Source organism: Homo sapiens, chromosome 4 (assembly GCF_000001405.40).
Source record: "Homo sapiens chromosome 4, GRCh38.p14 Primary Assembly".
Taxonomy (NCBI): domain Eukaryota; kingdom Metazoa; phylum Chordata; class Mammalia; order Primates; family Hominidae; genus Homo; species Homo sapiens.
In genome coordinates, this window is record NC_000004.12 from 108,784,694 (window position 1) to 108,803,149 (window position 18,456).

At 42.8% G+C, this 18,456-nt stretch overlaps 1 pseudogene, besides 1 other annotated feature; it reads right to left on the bottom strand.

The window, feature by feature from the left end:
* Positions 2,870–3,370: an enhancer, noted in NCBI's record as "H3K4me1 hESC enhancer chr4:109708719-109709219 (GRCh37/hg19 assembly coordinates)". NCBI's record gives its function as "activates a minimal SCP1, AML or CMV promoter by ChIP-STARR-seq in primed H9 embryonic stem cells {active_cell/tissue: H9 hESC(primed)}" and the evidence as "EXISTENCE:reporter gene assay evidence [ECO:0000049][PMID:30033119]".
* RCC2P8 (regulator of chromosome condensation 2 pseudogene 8) lies at positions 3,945–5,087 on the bottom strand (annotated as a pseudogene).

Here is an 18,456-nt window from a genome sequence, read left to right on the forward strand (position 1 = left end):
TAATCCCAGCACTTTGGGAGGCTGAGGCGGGCATATCACTTAAGGTTGGGAGTTTGAGACCAGCCTGGCCAACATGGTGAAACCCCATCTCTACTAAAAATATAAAAATTAGCCAGACGTGGTGGTGCAGGCCTGTAGTCCCAGCTACTCAGGAGGCTGAGGCAGGAGAACGACTTGAACCTGGGAGGCAGAGGTTTTAGTGAGCCAAGATCACACCACTGCACTCCAGTCTGGGCAACAGAGTGAGACTTTGTCTCAAAAAAAAAAAAAAAACATAAATTTAAAAGAACTATCTTTGTTTTTAAAACTGACTTCAAAATATACTACAAAGCTATAGTAATAACCAAAACAGCATGGTATTGGCATAAAAGTAGGCACATCACCAGTGGAACAGAATAGAGGACAAAGAAATACATTCATACACTTATAGCCAACTGATTTCCAATGAAGACATCACAAACATACATTGGGGAAAAGGCAGTCTTTTCAATAAATGGTGGTAGTCTCGACAATAAAGGCAGTCTCTTCAATAAATTGTGCATGCTAATATCCAATTTTCCTACTACCGTTTATTGAAGAGATCTCTATTTGTCAGTACATACAAAAGTCAACTCAAAATGGATTAAATATAAATGTAGGCCAAGCATGGTGGCTCACCCTTGTAATCCCAGCAGTTTGGGAGGCTTTGGTGGGAAGACTGCTTGAGGCCAGGAGTTCAAGACCAGCCTGAGTAATACAGCAAGACCACTTCTCTACAAAAAATTTAAAGAAATTAGCCAGGTATGGTGGCATGTGCCTGTAGTTCCAGCTACTCGGGAGGCTGAGTTGGGAGGATTGCTGGAGCCCTAGAGATTGAGGCTTCAGTGAACCGTGTTCACGCCATTGCACTCCAGCCTAGGTTTTGAGACCCTATCACAAAAAAAAAAAAAAAAAAGATTTAAATGTAAGTACTGAAACTATGAGACTACTAGAAGCAAACCCTGGGGAAATGCTTCATAACATTGTTCTGGGAAAAGATTTTTTTGGATAACAGCTCAAACTTACAGGCAACAAAAGCAAAAATAGACAAATAGGATTATACAAAACTGAAAAGCTGCACAGCAAAAGAAACAATGAATAAGAAACTCAGACAATTCAATACCAAGAAAACAAATAATATAATTTTAAAAATGCATGAAAGTGGGTATGGTGGCTCACGCCTGTAATCCTAGCACTTTGGGAAGCTGAGACCAGCCTGGCCAACATGGAGAAACCCCGTCTCTACTAAAAAATACAAAAGTTAGCCAGGCATGGTGGCAGGAGCCTGTAATCCCAGCTACTCAAGAGGCTGAGGCAGGAGAATCACTTGAACCCGGCAGGTGGAGGTTGCAGTGAGTGGAGATTGCACCACTGCACTACAGCCTGGGCAAGAGAGTGAGACTACGTCTCAAAAAAAATTATTTAAAATGTTTACTCCAAGAAATACATATATATGAAATAATTACAGCACTAAACCAGGATCCTTTGACCAAATCACAACCTCCTCTTTGATTCCCCTTCACTCTAGGCCTCTTTCAAATTCTTTTTCCTGAGCTGGAAGACCAGTCAGATGCCCGCAGGGTCAGTGCCAAGCACGTTCCCAGCTGGGCGACTGTGTACCTTTCTCTAAGAATGCATGACGTCCTTCCCCCCAACTCCTTGTTTTAAAGGATTTAACCCATTAGGAAGTTCATTTTTCAGTCTAAGCCAAAAAGAGGTGTGGGACATGGCAGTCTTCACTTCGAAGATCCCTTTCCTCCCCCAGTCCCTGTCAAGGGTTCTGGAAGAGGCTGGCTGTTGGGTTTACATGAGGCCACCGGAAGATCTAAGCCCAGATCTGCCCAAGGCGGCTCCTGCAAAGGCTGGGACCTCAGGTGCTGCTTCCTCAACCCTCTCAGTGACCACGACTCAAAGGAGAGACCTGAAGGGTGCGAGGAGCAACAGTGCTTGGGCTGCATTCCAGGAAAGACACCTGTCCAGAGAAACGGATCAGGCTGTCGCATGTAAGATTGAATCAGAGATGGTGGTTTGGGGGTGATTTGGACAAATTAGGTTAGTTTAACAAAGCTCTGAAGTGGCAGAAGATCTCTCCTGGACTACTGATTGAACACAGAACAAGAGATGAGCATGGTGTCAGACTAAGTCTTAGAGAGATGCAGGCCAGTCTCCTCCCACAGGGCCTTTGGACTGCAGGGACAGACACTGCTTCGTACCCTCCGCCAGCAGGAGTCACGGTAAGGAGTGATGGGGTGGAAACTTGGGAAAAAAGCAACAACAACTAGATAGCTTTTGGCATTTTAACATAGAGACAGTGATAAGTGGTAACAACAGCAAAAGAAAAAAAAAACGAAAAACTTGAAGACACCAATATTTAACAACCATTCACCCAAGTCTCACACTTAAGTTCTATTCCCATCGCCTCCATAAGCACCACTGAACTAAATATCTATTTTAAAGCACCCAAACCAGTCCAGACCCTCTGGAAACCAAGAGCCCCAGCCAGAGCTGTCGCCTGTCTTGGGTCCAGGTGAGAGCAGGGTTCTGGGAAAGGCACCCCGTTAGTCACTCAGCGCAGCGCACAGGGTGGCAAGCTCGGGCATGGGCACTTGACAGGGTCGCGGTTGGCAGTCACAGCATCCGTGCTGACACACGAGGAAGGGGACTCTTTGGTAATCCCAACTATTTGGTACCAGAGCCAAGCAAACGTGACTAAAGGGAGCTGGGTCAGCAGAAAGGTACCCCGAGTCTCAGCAATAGGACGGCCCGTGAGAGGCAGGATCCAGGTAGGAGAGAAAAGGAGACCAAAGCACGTCTTGCACAAGGCTGGTATGGAAAGGGCTGATCCTTCTTGCAAGAACGGGAGAATGCACTTGACTGCTGGCTGATCAATCTCTAATTGGCAAGTGCGCATGACAAGGCTCGGCCCTGGCTCCACAGGGAGCCACGAAGCTGACTCAACTGATACAAATGTTCCCATCTCTGCCCCACCCCCAAGTCCCCATGGTTCCACCATCACCTGATTTTCATTTGGACTTCTTTTACAGCTAAAATAGGCATAAATGGCTAAACACAGACCCCCAACACCCCCACCAGGAGGAACACGGCAGATTCTATAATGGCGCAGCCAGAAGTCTGTGGGCGTACAGGCAGCAAAGGGGAGAAACAGAACCGACACCGGCCTCGGCTGATGTGCAAGAAAAAGCGGGAAGGGAGTGTCACGGATGCTTCTGAAGCACGCGAGCGTGATTTTGGATGGAGGCCGGCCAGCAGGGACCGACTTTGTCTAGCTGCTGCCGGTTCCTGTAAGGGACATTTTTTTCTGAGTAAATGGCGATTCCTCTTCCATGTAGCATCCTCTTGGATCACGATGCTAATTATAACTGGAAAGGGGTGTTTTGGGGAGTGTATTTAGGAGAGGAAGAAAGAAAAAACTTTTTAAAAAACCTAGATTGCTCAAAGTTTCTGCTTGTTTTGTAGGAATGGTAAGTCAACTATGAGCAAATATTTTAATTCAACATTAAGAGGAAAAAACATACTTTGGAAAGCATACACAAGAAAAGGTAGTTAATGTTGGATCACTTGTAAAATGGAACCTCAGGGAGCCTAAACAAAAATGCACCTTTGGTCAACTTTTGCTTTTTTTTGAGACAGAGTTTCGCTCTTGTCACCCAGGCTGGAGTGCAGTGGCGCGATCTCAGATCACTGCAACCTCTGCCTACTGGGTTCAAGTGATTCTCTTGCCTCAGCCTCCTGAGTAGCTGGGATAACAGGTACATGCCACCATACTTGGCTAATTTTTTGTATTTTTAGTAGAGACGGGGTTTCATCACATTGGCCAGGCTGGTCTCGAACTCCTGACCTCAGGTGATCTGCCCGCCTCAGCCTCCCAAAGTGCTGGGATTACAGGCCTGAGCCACTGTGCCCAGCAACTTTTGCTTTTTTAAATTCCTAGTTTGACTTCACGTCCCAGTGCTCATGGAAATGATAGCTGCTGCGAGAAGTGTGGAGTTGGAGGAGTCTCCAGGAGCATCAATCAGAGGGTTGGGGGGTTGTATTCTGGCAGTTTCTTGATCTTCTCTTTCTCAGTCTAGCATTTGTCTCTTGCTATCACCAAGGTGTGTGAGTAGCCCTTGGCGACCTGCTCTGAGAAAATGCTATCCAGAGTCTTCACCTCTTGGGCTGCAGTGGAAGACTTGGGCTTGTGGTCCCCATAGCCGTGTTCCCCGAAGGTCGGCGACGGGCCCCAGCTGATGGTGCTCTCATTGGTGGCCACAGTGATGCTGCTCTTTCCACAAGCCAGGCTCCGTATTCTCCAGCCACAGAGGTCCTGCACTGCTTTCGGGTACACGGTAGATTCATGGGAGGTGTTGGTGACCCCCAGAAAAACAGACCACCCACTTCACTGATGGCAAAGAAGCAGGTATAACCAGCATAGATCTGGGACACCCCACGTCCAGAAAAGTCAAACAGCTTCACCAGGCGGGGGACCATCTCATCCTTCTGCTCTGCATGGCCCAGCCAGCCATAGCCACTGGAGCCCCAGAGAAGACTTGCTTCTGGGAGTCCAGAACCAGAGTGTGGTTGGTGCCACTGGCCACATCTTGCACAACCACGTTTGGTACAGGCAGCATCTGTCAATTTTTGGTCTTCTCGATGAAGATGGCCACTTGCAGGGGCACCAGTTTGCAGTCGTATTCTATCTGCTGTGGCCAGGCAATGAACTTCCCATCCGAGTTGTGTCCCAGCTGACCATATTCAGGGCACCCAAAGGAACAGAGGTTTCCTCTGCAGTCTATTATCATACTGAATTCAGCCCCCACAGGCCATTTTGGTAATTGGCTGGCCATTGTACATTATCTGCGCGGGGCTGTGGACAGTGTCTGTCTGGTTGCCAAGGCCCAGCTGCCCCATCTTGTTCTCCCCAAATGCAAACACGGAGCCAGTTTCCCTCAAGGCCAAGGTGTGGTTCTGCCCACATGCTGCAGATACGATCACTTTGTGGCTGAGACCCTCGATGAGTCTGGGGGCTTCCACTCTCTTGGTGTCCCCATGTCCCAGCTGCCCCTTCTTTGAGGAATTTTTAAAAGCTGATCTCATAGAAATAGAGTAGAAGAGTGGTTACCAGAGGGTCAGGATGGGGTGGGGTAGGTAGGAAGGATGGGGAAATGAGGAGAGGTTAGTGAACGGGTACAGGATTGCAGCTAGTTTGAAGAAATAAGGTCTAGTGTCCTATATTTGACTATAGTTGACAATATTGAATATTTCAAAATAATGAGAAGGTTTCGAATGTTCTTACTACAAAGAAATGATAAATGTTTGAGATGAAGGTAAGCCAATTACCCTGATTTGATAATTTCACAATGTATACATGTATTTAAAGATCACACTGTGTCCCATAAGTATGCAAAATTATGGGTCAAAAATACAATAAAATGTAAGAAATCCCTGTCTTTGGAAATTACTATTTTTCTCTCTCTCTTTTTTTGTTTTTGAGATGAAGTCTTGCTCTGTCACCCAGGCTGGAGTGCAGTGGCTTGATCTCAGCTCACTGCAACCTCTGCCTCCTGGATTCAAGCGATTCTCCTGTCTCAGCCTCTTGAGTAGCTGGGATTACAGGTGCCTGCCACCATGCCAGCTAATTTTTGTATTTTTAATAGAGACGGGGTTTCGCCATTTTGGCCAGGCTGGTCTCGAACTCCTGACCTCAGGTATTCCACCCGCCTTGGCCTCCCAGAGTGCTGGGATTATAGGCATGAGCTACCGCACCTGGCCTGGAAATTACTATTTAAAGTTAGGAGTTATCTATCTACTTATTTGTTGTCCCTGTTGTTTGACTTGTAGACTTTGGTACAGCCTGAAGTATAAAATTCCTATTGTTAACTACATAAAATCCTGTTATTAATAAACAAACTCAAAAGAATACCAGAACAAAAGTTTCTTTATTATGAAGCCCTCTCTTTTTAAAAAGCATTCAGCAGAAACAAACAATATAGTGTATGCCAGAATATCAGCATCACTTCTAGAAAATGACTCCAAGTTTCACAGCAGTTTACTGGGTTCCATGGTTTTGGGGAATAGAAAAGCAGGGTAGTACCTGTCATACCTGTATTCAGTTTCCTTCTTCTGTTGTATCCTCCCTTTTTTTTTTTTTTTGAGATAGATTCTCCCTCTATTGCCCAGGCTGGAGTGCAGTGGTGCAATCTTGGCCCACTGCAACCTCTGCCTCCTTGGTTCAAGCGATTCTCCTGCCTCAGCCTCCCAAGTAGCTGGGACTACAGGTGTGCATCACCATGCCTGACTAGTTTTTCTTTATTTTTAGTAGAGATGGGGCTTCACCATATTGGCCAGGCTGGTCTTGAACTCATGACCTCGTGATCTGCCCACCTCGGCCTCCCAAAGGGTGAGATGATAGGTGTGAGCCACCACGCTCAGCCTATTGTATCCTCCTTTTATGAGTTGAAAGTGTCCCCTCAAAAGATGTTGAAGTTCTAACCCCTGGTACTTGTGCATATGACTTTATTTGGAAAATAGGATCTTTGCCGATGATCAAGTTAAGATGAGGTCATTTGGGTAGGCCCTAATCTAATATGATTGAGTCCTTACAAAAAGGGGAAATTTTGTCACAGAAACTGACCCTTAGAGAGAGAAGACAATGTGAATACACAGGGATAAGGCCATCTATTTAATACCAGCCAATGAACCCTTGAGGCTCCCAGAAACTAAGAACCCTTTCAAATAATCAAAATGCCAGGTTTTTTGTTTGTTTGTTTTGAGACAGAGTCTCACTCTGTCACCCAGGCTGGAGTGCAGTGGCATGATCTTGGCTCACTGCAACCTCCGCCTCCCAGGTCCAATCGATTCTCGTGCCTCAGCCTCCTGAGTAGCTAGGATTACAGGCGCGTGCCACTACACCCAGGTAATTTTTTTTCTTGTATTTTTAGTAGAGATGGGGTTTTGCCATGTTGGCCAGGCTGTTCTCAAACTCCTGGCCTCAAGTGATCCATCTGCCTCAACTTCCCAAAGTGCTGGGATTACGAGTGTGAGCCACCACACTTGACAAAAATGCCAGTTTTCTGATTGTATGTTTACTTTTTGGTTTCCTGCATATACCCCAACATCCATATCTTTTACCTGCCCACCACGTTCCCATTTCTCTTTAAATCAGGTTTTGATTTTCTGAAAGTCTGAATGTTGAATTCACTGGTGTCCTGGAATACACTGCAAATAATTCCTACTTGCATTTCACTGACATTAGGTTGCCTTTCCCTGGGTAGGTTCTGCTTGCTTAAATTGTACATGTAAAGGTAACCTCAGCACTTTAGAGGACATATACAGTATGAATTCAAAATATAATTACTTTTAGGAGAGTACATAGAAGTACTCTGAACCATGGAGTACCACTAAATGGAAGCTTTTATTATAATTACCAATTTTACATGATACATGCAGTTATATATACTCTGATTCCTATCTCCTCCCTTACTGTGAAAGGGCTGGTTACATTCAGGAGAATGTGAAGGTCATTTCACCACAAAACACTCTAACTCAGAGTATTGAAGTATTAACTAGATTTATTCTGAGTATCAGTTTTTTCTTATGCATCCCTTTTCATTATCTGATTCACATCTCTCATGAGTGATGTTAATGTAAATGGTTGAATATTCTCAGAGTATAGTAAATATAACAACATAGCACCTTAATCTCACAATAAGGTTATTTTTTCTGTCTTAATTTTATCTTGTTTTATCCTTATATATTTTGGAATATGGATCAGCAGCTTTCCTTTTTTTTTTTTTGAGACAGAGTCTTGCTGCTCTGTTGACCAGGCTGGAGTGCAGTGGCATGATCACAGCTTACAGCGGCCTCAACCTCCTGGGCTCAAGTGATCCTCCCACCTCAGCCACCTGAGTAGCTGAGATTACAGGCATGAGCTACCACACCTGGCTAATTTTTACATTATTGGTAGAGATGGAGTCTCACTATGTTGCCCAGTCCGGTCTCAAACTCCTGAGTTCAAGCAATCCTCCTACCTTGGCCTCCCAAGGTCCTGGGATTTCAGGTGTTAGCATTAGTTCCAGCCAGCTACTTCTATACAATAGGATTTATTCTTACCATGTTTTCTAATGTATTTTGTGCCATTTCCTGCTGTTCTAAGACACAAAAGTAAAAAAATATATATTTTCATATAATATTTACATGTATATAATGTTTACATATATATTTGTACTTGATGTCTGGGTCCAGAGTTACATCTGAAGTTTTTATTATGTTAACCATTATAATTGGCGTCCTACTGCTGTCAGACTTACTCTAACAAATAGATTACTGTTTATTATATTGAAGGAAGGGTGTATTGAACGATGGCTAGCTTTTGAAATGAAAATCTCAAGAGACAGTGACCCAATTTATTATGGGATTTGATATGTTTGATGGAGGGGATAGAAAACATTTTTAGCCAGCATCATGATTTCTAATTTTTGTTTGGGTCTTAGAGAAGAGGGAAGACTTCACCTTCCAGATCCCCTATGTACCAATTCCAGATGTTGGAAACAGACGTTTGGGAGATCTTTGGAGTCCTGTGTGGACTTGTGACCTCCTATCCTAAGTCCAGTCACAATTTTTTTTTTAGCATTCTTGAATTGTACAGTGAGAAACGAGTTGCTTTGGTCAAATGTTCCTCCTTTTTGCCATGGTGTACTCTGGGCATATCCCTAACTTTGCATTGGCTGTAAGGTTCTTCCTTTCAGCTTTGTAGATGAGAGTGCAGTGCTTAGTTTCAAATTCTGGCTCTGCTACTTTCTAGCTGTGTGAGCCTGGGTGAATTACTCATCTTTCTGACTTTTAGTTTTCTAATGTGTAAAATGAGAATAATAAAGTGCCCAATTCACAGTGTGGTTGTAAGGATGAAATAAGATATATGATGGCTCAGCATAATAGTATGTGGTAAGCACTAAGTCAATGACATCTATTATTACCTCTATACTTGTGCTGCTCAGGATGCGTGTCTTACTTGCAAAGAGCTTGGCTGCAGCCCTCTGAGACTGTTAAACTGAACTAATTGATCAGAGTTTGGTCACCTAGTGCCCACATTATATAGAGCCAAGGAACCGGTTAGTTTTGGACATGTTGGCGGATCACTTAAATTCATGCTACTGGCCTTGAAGGCCCTCGAACAAGAGCATTTTCTTGGTTCATTGCAAACCTATCACTAGTGTTAGAAAAATAACCTACGCACGTGTGTGTTAGAGGCATCACCTCTGTGGAGGAAGCATCATTATAGTTACTTATTGACTTCTTGCTGTGCAATATTTTAAATAATGCTTTAATAATGTTTTAGTCAAAATGAAAATATCTTTAAGAGAGCTCAAGCACACACTGAATTGCTAAAAAGTTATATGACAAAAGAAAGAGTGCTGTAATGACATTTTTATGAGTCAATCTTTATTGAATGTCAATAAAATTCTGCACTATTCTAGTTGAATAGGAAGAGACTAGTTCATAAGAAGCCCATTACCCTAAGCTAGGTGTTAATAATCTCTTTGTCTGTGTTAATATTACAATATGCTGCATAATGCCAGGCTTGGAATACAAAAGTTCAGGGTTATGTAAGTGTTCTGGCATGCACAACTCTTTGAGCAAGACACTTGGAATTCTAGCTTGTCCAGCAGTTTAACTAGGCTGCGCAAACAATAGGGGCAAGAATGTAGCAAAATGCCCCTATTTCAACTATTCTTAATATAGCTGTCTTTTGATGGCTTTCTCACAAATTGTTCAGTCCTGAGAGTCCCATATTTTTTTCCTATCAATAGTTTACCATCTTTACACTTAGCAAGGAAACTTGCTAACTGTCTTAAGAGGTGGTGACATTCATTATTTTTCAATTTATCTGAAGAAAACTACCCTTTTCTCTCACTAGCTTTTATATCAAATTTAGTCCTTAAGCCGGTATATATAGTGTATAGGTATTTTTGGGACACTAAATAGTCAATAAAATGCAAGAAAAAGCATTTAGCTTTTAAGAGCAAATGTCTCACTTTCTTTTTTTTTTTTTGAGACGGAGTCTGGCTCTGTCGCCCAGGCTGGAGTACAGTGGCGCGAACTCGGCTCCCTGCAAGCTCCACCTCCCGGATTCACGCCATTCTCCTGCCTCAGCCTCCCGAGTAGCTGGGGCTACAGGCACCCACCACCTCGCCCGGCTAATTTTTTGTATTTTAGTAGAGACGGGGTTTCACCCTGTTAGCCAGGATGGTCTCGATCTCCTGACCTCGTGATCCGCCCGCCTCGGCCTCCCAAAGTGTCGGGATTACAGGCGTGAGCCACCGCGCCTGGCCAAATGTCTCACTTTCTTAACATAGAGCAGACCTTCTTAATCACTGCAAACTTTCTACCGATCTGATAGATATACAAGGCTTCTCTTCGGAAGAGAAAAATAGCTAGTGGTTCATTGAGAATTGACTCTGGGCCAGAGTCTGACCTAAGCATGTATGTGTATTAACTCACTAAATATGTGTATTAACTTACCACCTTGAGGTGGGTAATTTTATCTTTTCCATTTCACAAATTAGGAAACCAAGGCCCACAGAGATCAGATAACTTGCTTTAGTAAGTGGTTGAACAGGGATTCAAATATAGGCTAATTGGGCCAGGCATGTGGCTCATGCCTGTAATTCCAGCACTTTGGGAGGCCGAAGCAGGTGGATCACCTGAGGTCAGGAGTTCGAGACCAGCCTGGCCAGTGTGGCAAAACCCAGTCTCTACTAACATTACAAAAATTAGCCGGGCTTGGTGGCACTTGCCTGTAATCCCAGCTACTTGGGAGGCTGAGGCATGAGAATTGCTTGAAACCAAGAGGCAGAGGTTGCAGTGAGCTGAGATCGCACCACTGCCCTCCAGCCTAGGAGACAGAGCGAGTCTCTGTCTCAAAAAAAAAAAAAAAAAAAAAAAAATAGCCTAATTGGCTCCAGTAACTGAGTTCTTCAACACTAAACTATTTGTGTTTTGGATGCCAAAAAAAACTTCGCAAACATCAGTTGAGAAGAGTCTAGAAATAACTTTTTCCTAATTAAAAAAAAGAAAAAGAAGAAAATGACAAAAATTTAGAGTAGATTTTTTTCTTGCCCAAAATCATCTCATGGAAAATACACATTAGAAAGGCTTTTGGAACACTGTTTGCTTTTTTGGGCTTTCATGCTTCATGTCTCAGTGAAAGGACAAAGTTCTAAGAGCTGGGAGGTTCTGGTTCCAGGCTCTGCTGTTAATAGTTGTATCACATTGGCTGAGTCACTCATTCTCTTTGGATTATTTTTTCCAAGTGAAAATATTAATGCTATTAATCTTATATAGTTATTGAGAGAATCAGATAGAACTGATAGGAAATGATTTAAAAATACCAAGCAGTATGGAAATATAAAGTGGTATTTATAGTTGTTTATTGTCACCAGCCATATATGGAATCATGTCATCTCAGAATTGGAAGAAGTGTTAGAGTCACCTAGGAACAAGGCATAGTGGTGGGGTGGAAAGAGCTGTAACATTTGTCCTGCATTCAAATCTTTTCTCAGCCACTTATTTACTTAATCTTGGACTGGTGATCCAACTTCTCTGAGTCTCGGCTCTATTTGTGAAAGATAATTATATTTTCTTTCCAGGGATATGAGGATTAAGTGTAGTGTCCTGTCACATGGTCTCTCAGGAAATCCTCAGCCTAAAAGAAAACAAAACAAAGCCAGAAACAGCCTGCCAACTGAGATTAATACAAGTAGCAAAAATCACACACCATAATATTTTGAAGATAAATGGAAGTCAATAAACATTTGTTAAGTATTACCATAATAAGTATTTTGGCCGGACGCAGTGGATCATGCCTGTAATCTCAACATTTTGGGAGGCTGAGGCGGGTGGATCAACTGAAGTCAGGAGTTCGAGACCAGCCTGACCAACATGGTGAAACCCTGTCTCTACTAAATACAAAAAATTAGCCTGGCATGGTGGCACGTGCCTGTAATCCCAGCTACTCAGGAGGCTGAGGCAGGAGAAACACTTGAACCTGGGAGGCAGAAGTTGCAGTGAGCTGAGATGGTGCCATTGCACTCCAGCCTGAGCAGCAAGAATGAAACTCCGTCTCAAAAAAGAAAAAAAAAAAAAAGAAGTGTTTTAAGTATTCTTACTAGAGGAACATGTGAAAGGTATGAGATGCCAATGGCATCTTTATTTTATTTTTATTTTTTACCTACAGCCCATGTTTCTGCTAAGTATCTGTATTTTATAAAAACATAGCAATGCTATGCTAACTACTTATAATTTTTAGAGGATGACAATACCACAAAATCTGATGGTTTACAGTTTCTTTAGGTTTATCTATATACACAACCTGTGAGCGGTGGCAGTGTGGTAGGCTGAATAGTGACACTGTAAAGATATCCATGTCCTAATCCCCAGAACCTGTGAATATGTTGTGCTGTATGCCAAGGAGATATTAGGGTTGCAGATGGAATTAAGGTTGCTTGCTATCAGCTGACCTTAAAATAGGGAGAGTATTGGGTTATCCAGGTGGGCTCAATGTAATCACAAGGGTTCTAAAAAGTGAAAGAGGTAGAAGAGAGAGACCCAGAATGATTGCAGCATCTGAAGGGCTTGGCCTAATGTTGCTGTCTTTGAGGAATAATGAAGAGGGTTATGAGCCAAGGAATGCAAGAAGCCACTAGAAGCTGTAAAAGGCAAGGATAGTGATTCTTCCCTAGAGCTTCCAGAAAGGTGCAGCCCTGCCAACACCTTAATTTTAGCACTGTGAGATCCGTTTTGGACTTCTGAACTACAGAACTGTAAGATAATGCATTTGTGTTATTTTAAGCCACCGAATTTTGGTAATTTGTTATAGCAGCCATAGAATAAACACAGGCAGTTTTCTTTCTTTTCAACCCTTTTATTTTCTTTTTCTTTTTTTTTCTTTTGAGACGGAATCTCGCTCTGTTGCCCAGGCTGGAGTTCAATGGTGCAATCTCTGCTCATTGCAACCTCCGCCTCCGGGGTTCAAGCAATTATCCTGCCTCAGCCTCCTGAGTAGCTGGGATTACAGGTGCATGCCACCAAGCCCGGCTAATTTTTGTATTTTTAGTGGAGATGGGGTTTCACCATGTTTGTCAGGCTGGTCTTGACTTCCTGACCTCGTGATCCACCTGCTTGAGCCTCCCAAAGGGCTGGGATTACAGGCGTGAGCCACCATGCCTGGCCTATTTTTCTTTTCTACTTGCATTGGCTAATTGCATTATTTGTACCGGCTAATTGCATATTGTAATTGCATTGTTGCTTCTATTAAATATACTATTAATAATTACTAGTATAATTAATTAGACTATTATTGCTTCTCTTAATAGAATAGTATTAAATGTTCTATTCTTGTTTTTCATTTTAAAAGGAATGTTTATAACTTTTTGCTAATAAGAAATATGTTTGCTATAGGTTTTTAATATATTCATTCCTATGTCAGGTTAAGAAAACTCCATTCTATTTCATCTTTTAAAATCAGAGAATACCTATTAAATTTTATCAAATATTATAACTTAATTTCCCCTTTCTTATGTTATACATTTCTTATCCAATTTTTGTACCCAAAATAGCATAATTAGGCTTTCTCCCTCTTTCTTACATTTTTGGAAAAGATGATGAGTCAGGGAGGAGAGTACTCTTTAAAAATTAATGAATAATTTAGCCCTAAAAGTAGAAAAAGTAATTTTATTGTTGGTGAGTTCTCAAAGCAGTACCAAAAATTGCTAGATGAATTAAAGAAGAAAGTGGGAGCTTATTGTGGCAGTAAATTATAGATAGTAAGTTGTGGGCAGTAAATTTAAAACAGCAAATAGTGTAAAATATGTAGCTAAAACTATCTAAGGGTAGGTTCTCTAGTCTGACATCTATTTTCTTTTTTCTTGAGATAGAGTTTTGCTGTTGTTGCCTGCCCAGGCTGGAGTGCAATGGGGTGATCTTGGCTCACTGCAAACTTTGCCTCCCGGGTTCAAGGGATTCTCCTGCCTCAGCCTCCCAAGTAGCTGGGATTACAGGAGCCAGCCACCACACCCAGCTAATTTTTTGTATTTTTTTTAGTAGATACAACATTTCACCATGTTGGCCAGGCTGGTCTCGAACTCCTGACCTCAGGTGATCTACCCGCCTCAGCCTCCCAAAGTGCTGGGATTTCAGGCGTGAGCCACTGCGCCTGGCCAAGTCAAACATTTTTACTCAATTTTTTCATTATCACTTGCTTTTAGGTTTGTTTTCATTTTCTGCAGGTAGACAGAATAGTATAGGAAACTTCATAATTATTCAATGTCAGTATGGCTAAGATATTGATACCTTGTCCATTTACTAAACATCTCAACCATAGATGAAGTCAACAACTATTTCCACCACAGTTTGACCATTTCAGAACTCCTGTCTTCTCAGCCAGTGACTTGATATATTTGCTCATTATAAGTATGACTCATTTTCTTTCTTTCATTGTTTCTGTATTCCAACCTTCCTTTTAATTTGTAAGTATAAACTCATGATTTAGAAAAGCTTATATCTACTTGACTGCCTTTTATGTACTCTACTGAAAAACATTTTCCAAATGGGACTTTATTACTTTTAGAACTTGTCATTGCCCTTGAATGATGGATTTGGCGGATGCTGAAAGCAGGCTTTAATTCAAGCTAAGAAGTGAATCCTGGTGCATTTTTGGGTAGAGATATGAGAGGGGATTGAGGGTGGAGTGCAGTGGAGATGAAAAGAATGGAAAGGAGTGCCAAAGAATGAGGAGTTACCAGTGAAGACAGCTCTGAATAGTCACTCCTTGGAACAACTCCTGTGATAGGAATGCCAATTGAGAAACAAGGCCCTGCGTACCTCGGGTATGGCAAGTTTTGACTGAATTGGAGCAAACACCGCTGCCGGACAGCATTTCCCAAATTGTGTCTATGAAAGATATATCCTTTATCCCTTTAACAGACATTCTGGTTCATATTCTTCTTTTTCTTTTTGAAACCAAGTTTCGCTCTTTTTTGTCCAGGCTGGAGTGCAATAGCATGATCTCAGCTCACTGCAACCTCTGCCTCCTGGGTTCAAGTGACTCTCCTGCCTCAGCCTCCTGAGTAGCTGGGATTACAGGCACACACCACCACACCCGGATAATTTTGTATTTTTACTAGAGATGGGGTTTCACCATTTTGGCCAGGTTGGTCTCGAACTCCTGACCTCAGGTGATCTGCCTGCCTTGGCCTACCAAAGTGCTCAGATTACAGGCGTGAGCCACCGCACCCAGCCCCAGTTCATATTCTTATGTTGAATTATCTTATTTGTGGAATACTTATCACTATTTTATTGGATAATTGTTTTCCGGAGGACACAGCTTGGTTTAGAAGAAGTAAAGAACAGCCCCACCACCAAGTCTTTTCTGCTATCACTATTTGATGTTGATATCACAGAGAATAGAAGGGAAAATGCACATAGACTTATGTCTCTTGTATCGAGGGATTCTTTTGTTTGCTTGTTTTTGAGACAGAGTCTCGCTCTGTCACCCAGGCTGGAGTGCAGTGGTGTGGTCTCGGTTCAGTGTAACCTCTGCCTCCCGGGTTCAAGCGATTCTCCTGCCTCAGCCTCCTGAGTAGCTGGGACTACAGACACCCGCCACCACGGCTGGCTAATTTTTGTATTTTTAGTAGAGATGGGGCTTCACCATATTAGCCAGGCTAGTCTCAAACTCCTGACCTTGTGATCTGCCTGCCTCGGCCTTCCAAAGTGCTGAGATTACAGGTGTGAGCCACTGCGCCCAGCCAAGGGATTCTTTATTATCAATTCTGAATCAGTAGAAAAGTCATGCAGATTTTAATATGAATTACATGCTCACTGTTGCATTGCATATTCACACACCCAATATTATCCCTGGATGACTTGTTCTTTTTTTCATTTGGTTAATTGCTTTCATTAATATATTATTTTAATTAGTACGTATTTGAGTGCCAACTATGTGCTGGACATTAAAGACATAAGGGCAAACAACACAGAGCTCTCTCTCTCTCTTCATGGAGTCATAGCATGTCAAAAGAGGCAAAGGGAGCACAGAGGAGAGCTACGTAACCAACACTGGAAAATCCAGAGAAGCTTCTCCAGAGGTAGTAACGTCTAAGCTGAGATTTTTTTTCTTTTTCTTTCTTTCTTTTTTTTTTTTTTTTTTTTTTTTTGAGACAGAGTCTCACTGATTTTTGAGACCTCTGCCTCCCGGGTTCAAGCGATTCTCCTGCCTCAGCCTCCCGAGTAGCTGGGATTACAGGCATGCGCCACCACGCCCAGCTAATTTTTGAATTTTTGGTAGAGCTGGGGTTTCACCATGTTGGCCAGGCTGGTCTTGAACTCCTGACCTTGGGTCCTCCACCCGCCTCGGCCTCCCAAAGTGCTGGGATTACAGGCATGAGCCACTGCGCCTGGCCTCTTTTTTTTTTTTTTTTTTAAGCCTCTGAGACAAGTTCAACTAAGCTGACACTAAGGATAAGTAGAAGTTAGGGAGGTAAAGTGGGTTTTTAGGTAAAGGAGGGATGAAACAGTGGCAGAGAGAAAGTCTGGAAATGACAGAGAAGAGCCTGGTTGAATAACTGAAAAATAAGTGCAGGTTGTCTACATAAATGACAAGGAAAAGAATGGCGAGAGGTAAGGCTAGAGGAGTAGATATGGACTGAATAAAGAAGGGCCTTGTAAACGGTAAGGAATTTGAGATTTATCCTGAGAGAAACAGAGCTTCAAGTTAAAGAGTTTCGAGCAGGGAAAGATAATTCTGGCTACTGTGTAGGGCAGGACCAACCACTGTAAGACCTGCAGTTACAGTAATTCAGACATGACACATAAGTTACTTGGCCTTAGGTTGTGACCATGCAATGCTGTGAAGATGGCAGTTGTAGTTTATATTGAATCAGTAGAATCTGCTGGTCATGAAGAGTGACTGGGGATGATGAGGAGGGTAGAGTCAGAAGTGACAGGTAAGTTTTGGTTTCATCAATTGTGTGAGTGGTGATACTATTCCCATAGTGATACTATGTGGGGCAGAGGAGGAGGAATGTGGCAGAGGGGCGGTGGGCAAGATCCGTTCTGCATGTGTTGAATTTGAGGTGCCAGTTGCACATCCAGAAGAATGCAGCTGCAATCAAAACTGGAGTTTGGAGAGAGATAGTGGCATATTGATGGTAACTTAATTCCGAAGGCTTTAGGAGCTCCCTAGGGGAGAGAGTAGTTTCGCTGTGTGGTGGGGGAGGGCTTAATAATGGATTGAGGAGTGAATGGAAGGTGAGGAAGCGGGTATGGTGAGTACATAATCAACCTCCTAGAAGTCAGTCTTTAAGGGAAAGCAGCAAAAAGAAAGGCCAGCAGCTAAAGGGGTGCACAGGTTTGAGGAAAGGCCTTTATAAAAATGGAAGATATCTGAATATACTTAAATGTGTTTAGACAAAGGGAAGGATAAGTTGAAACAACAGGACAAGGTCCCTGAGAAGCCTGGGGTGGATGTGAAGCATTTGTGGCAGAGGTTAGCCTTAAGCAGGGAGAGTGACATCATTTTCAATTGTAATAGAAGGGAAGGAAGGAATCAAGGGTGTAGAGGTGGGCACACTTTCAGTCGGCTCGAGGGGTTTGAGAGAGTCTCTCTGTGGATTTCTTTTCTTTTGTGAATGCAAGATTATCCACTGAGAATGAAAAGGAAGAAATTAAAGGAGAGTAGAAAAAGTTTGAATTACCACCATGATTAGGGAAACACAGACAGATTGTCAGTTGTTGGTAGTTGTTGAATGCACAGGTGAATTTGGAGACTTTGAATTTACGATGAACCAATCTGGGCTACTGAGTGATCTTCTCCCATAGCATTGAGTGGACTATACCAGACAAAGATGCAGAGAAGGTGGACAGATGGGCTATTACATATTTGGCTTTTGGCAAGTGAGCACGTGGAGCAATGGGGTAAAGAAGTTGTTGGCGTCAGTGTAGGTGAAAATTTGTTCTGTGTAACCTAAGTTGGAGAGCAGAGGAAGTGGAGCTGTGTGGGGCACGGTAAGGAGGGCCGAGAGATATAGGGAGTGGAGGTGGTTGTTAGGTGCAAGAATGGGTACAGTGGGAGTCACTGGGAAGGAAATCCTGCCAGGATAGTGGAGAGTCCTCAGAGTGGGATGTTTGAATGCATCATTCCAGAGTTGGAGCAGTTTCAGGGACTGACACAAATCAGTGTGTCAGAGGAGTGAGTGGCAGAATTGGAGGGTGGAAAAAGCCATTAGAAATGAGGCCTGAGAAGATAATGGAATAAGGTGTTGGTTACATTGACCATGTTGACACGTAAGTTACCTCAAATGATGGCATATAGGGAGAAAAATAAGACTGTGAACCACGTGCTAAAGGCTTCAATTAATGAAGGGAACGACAGAAGATGGC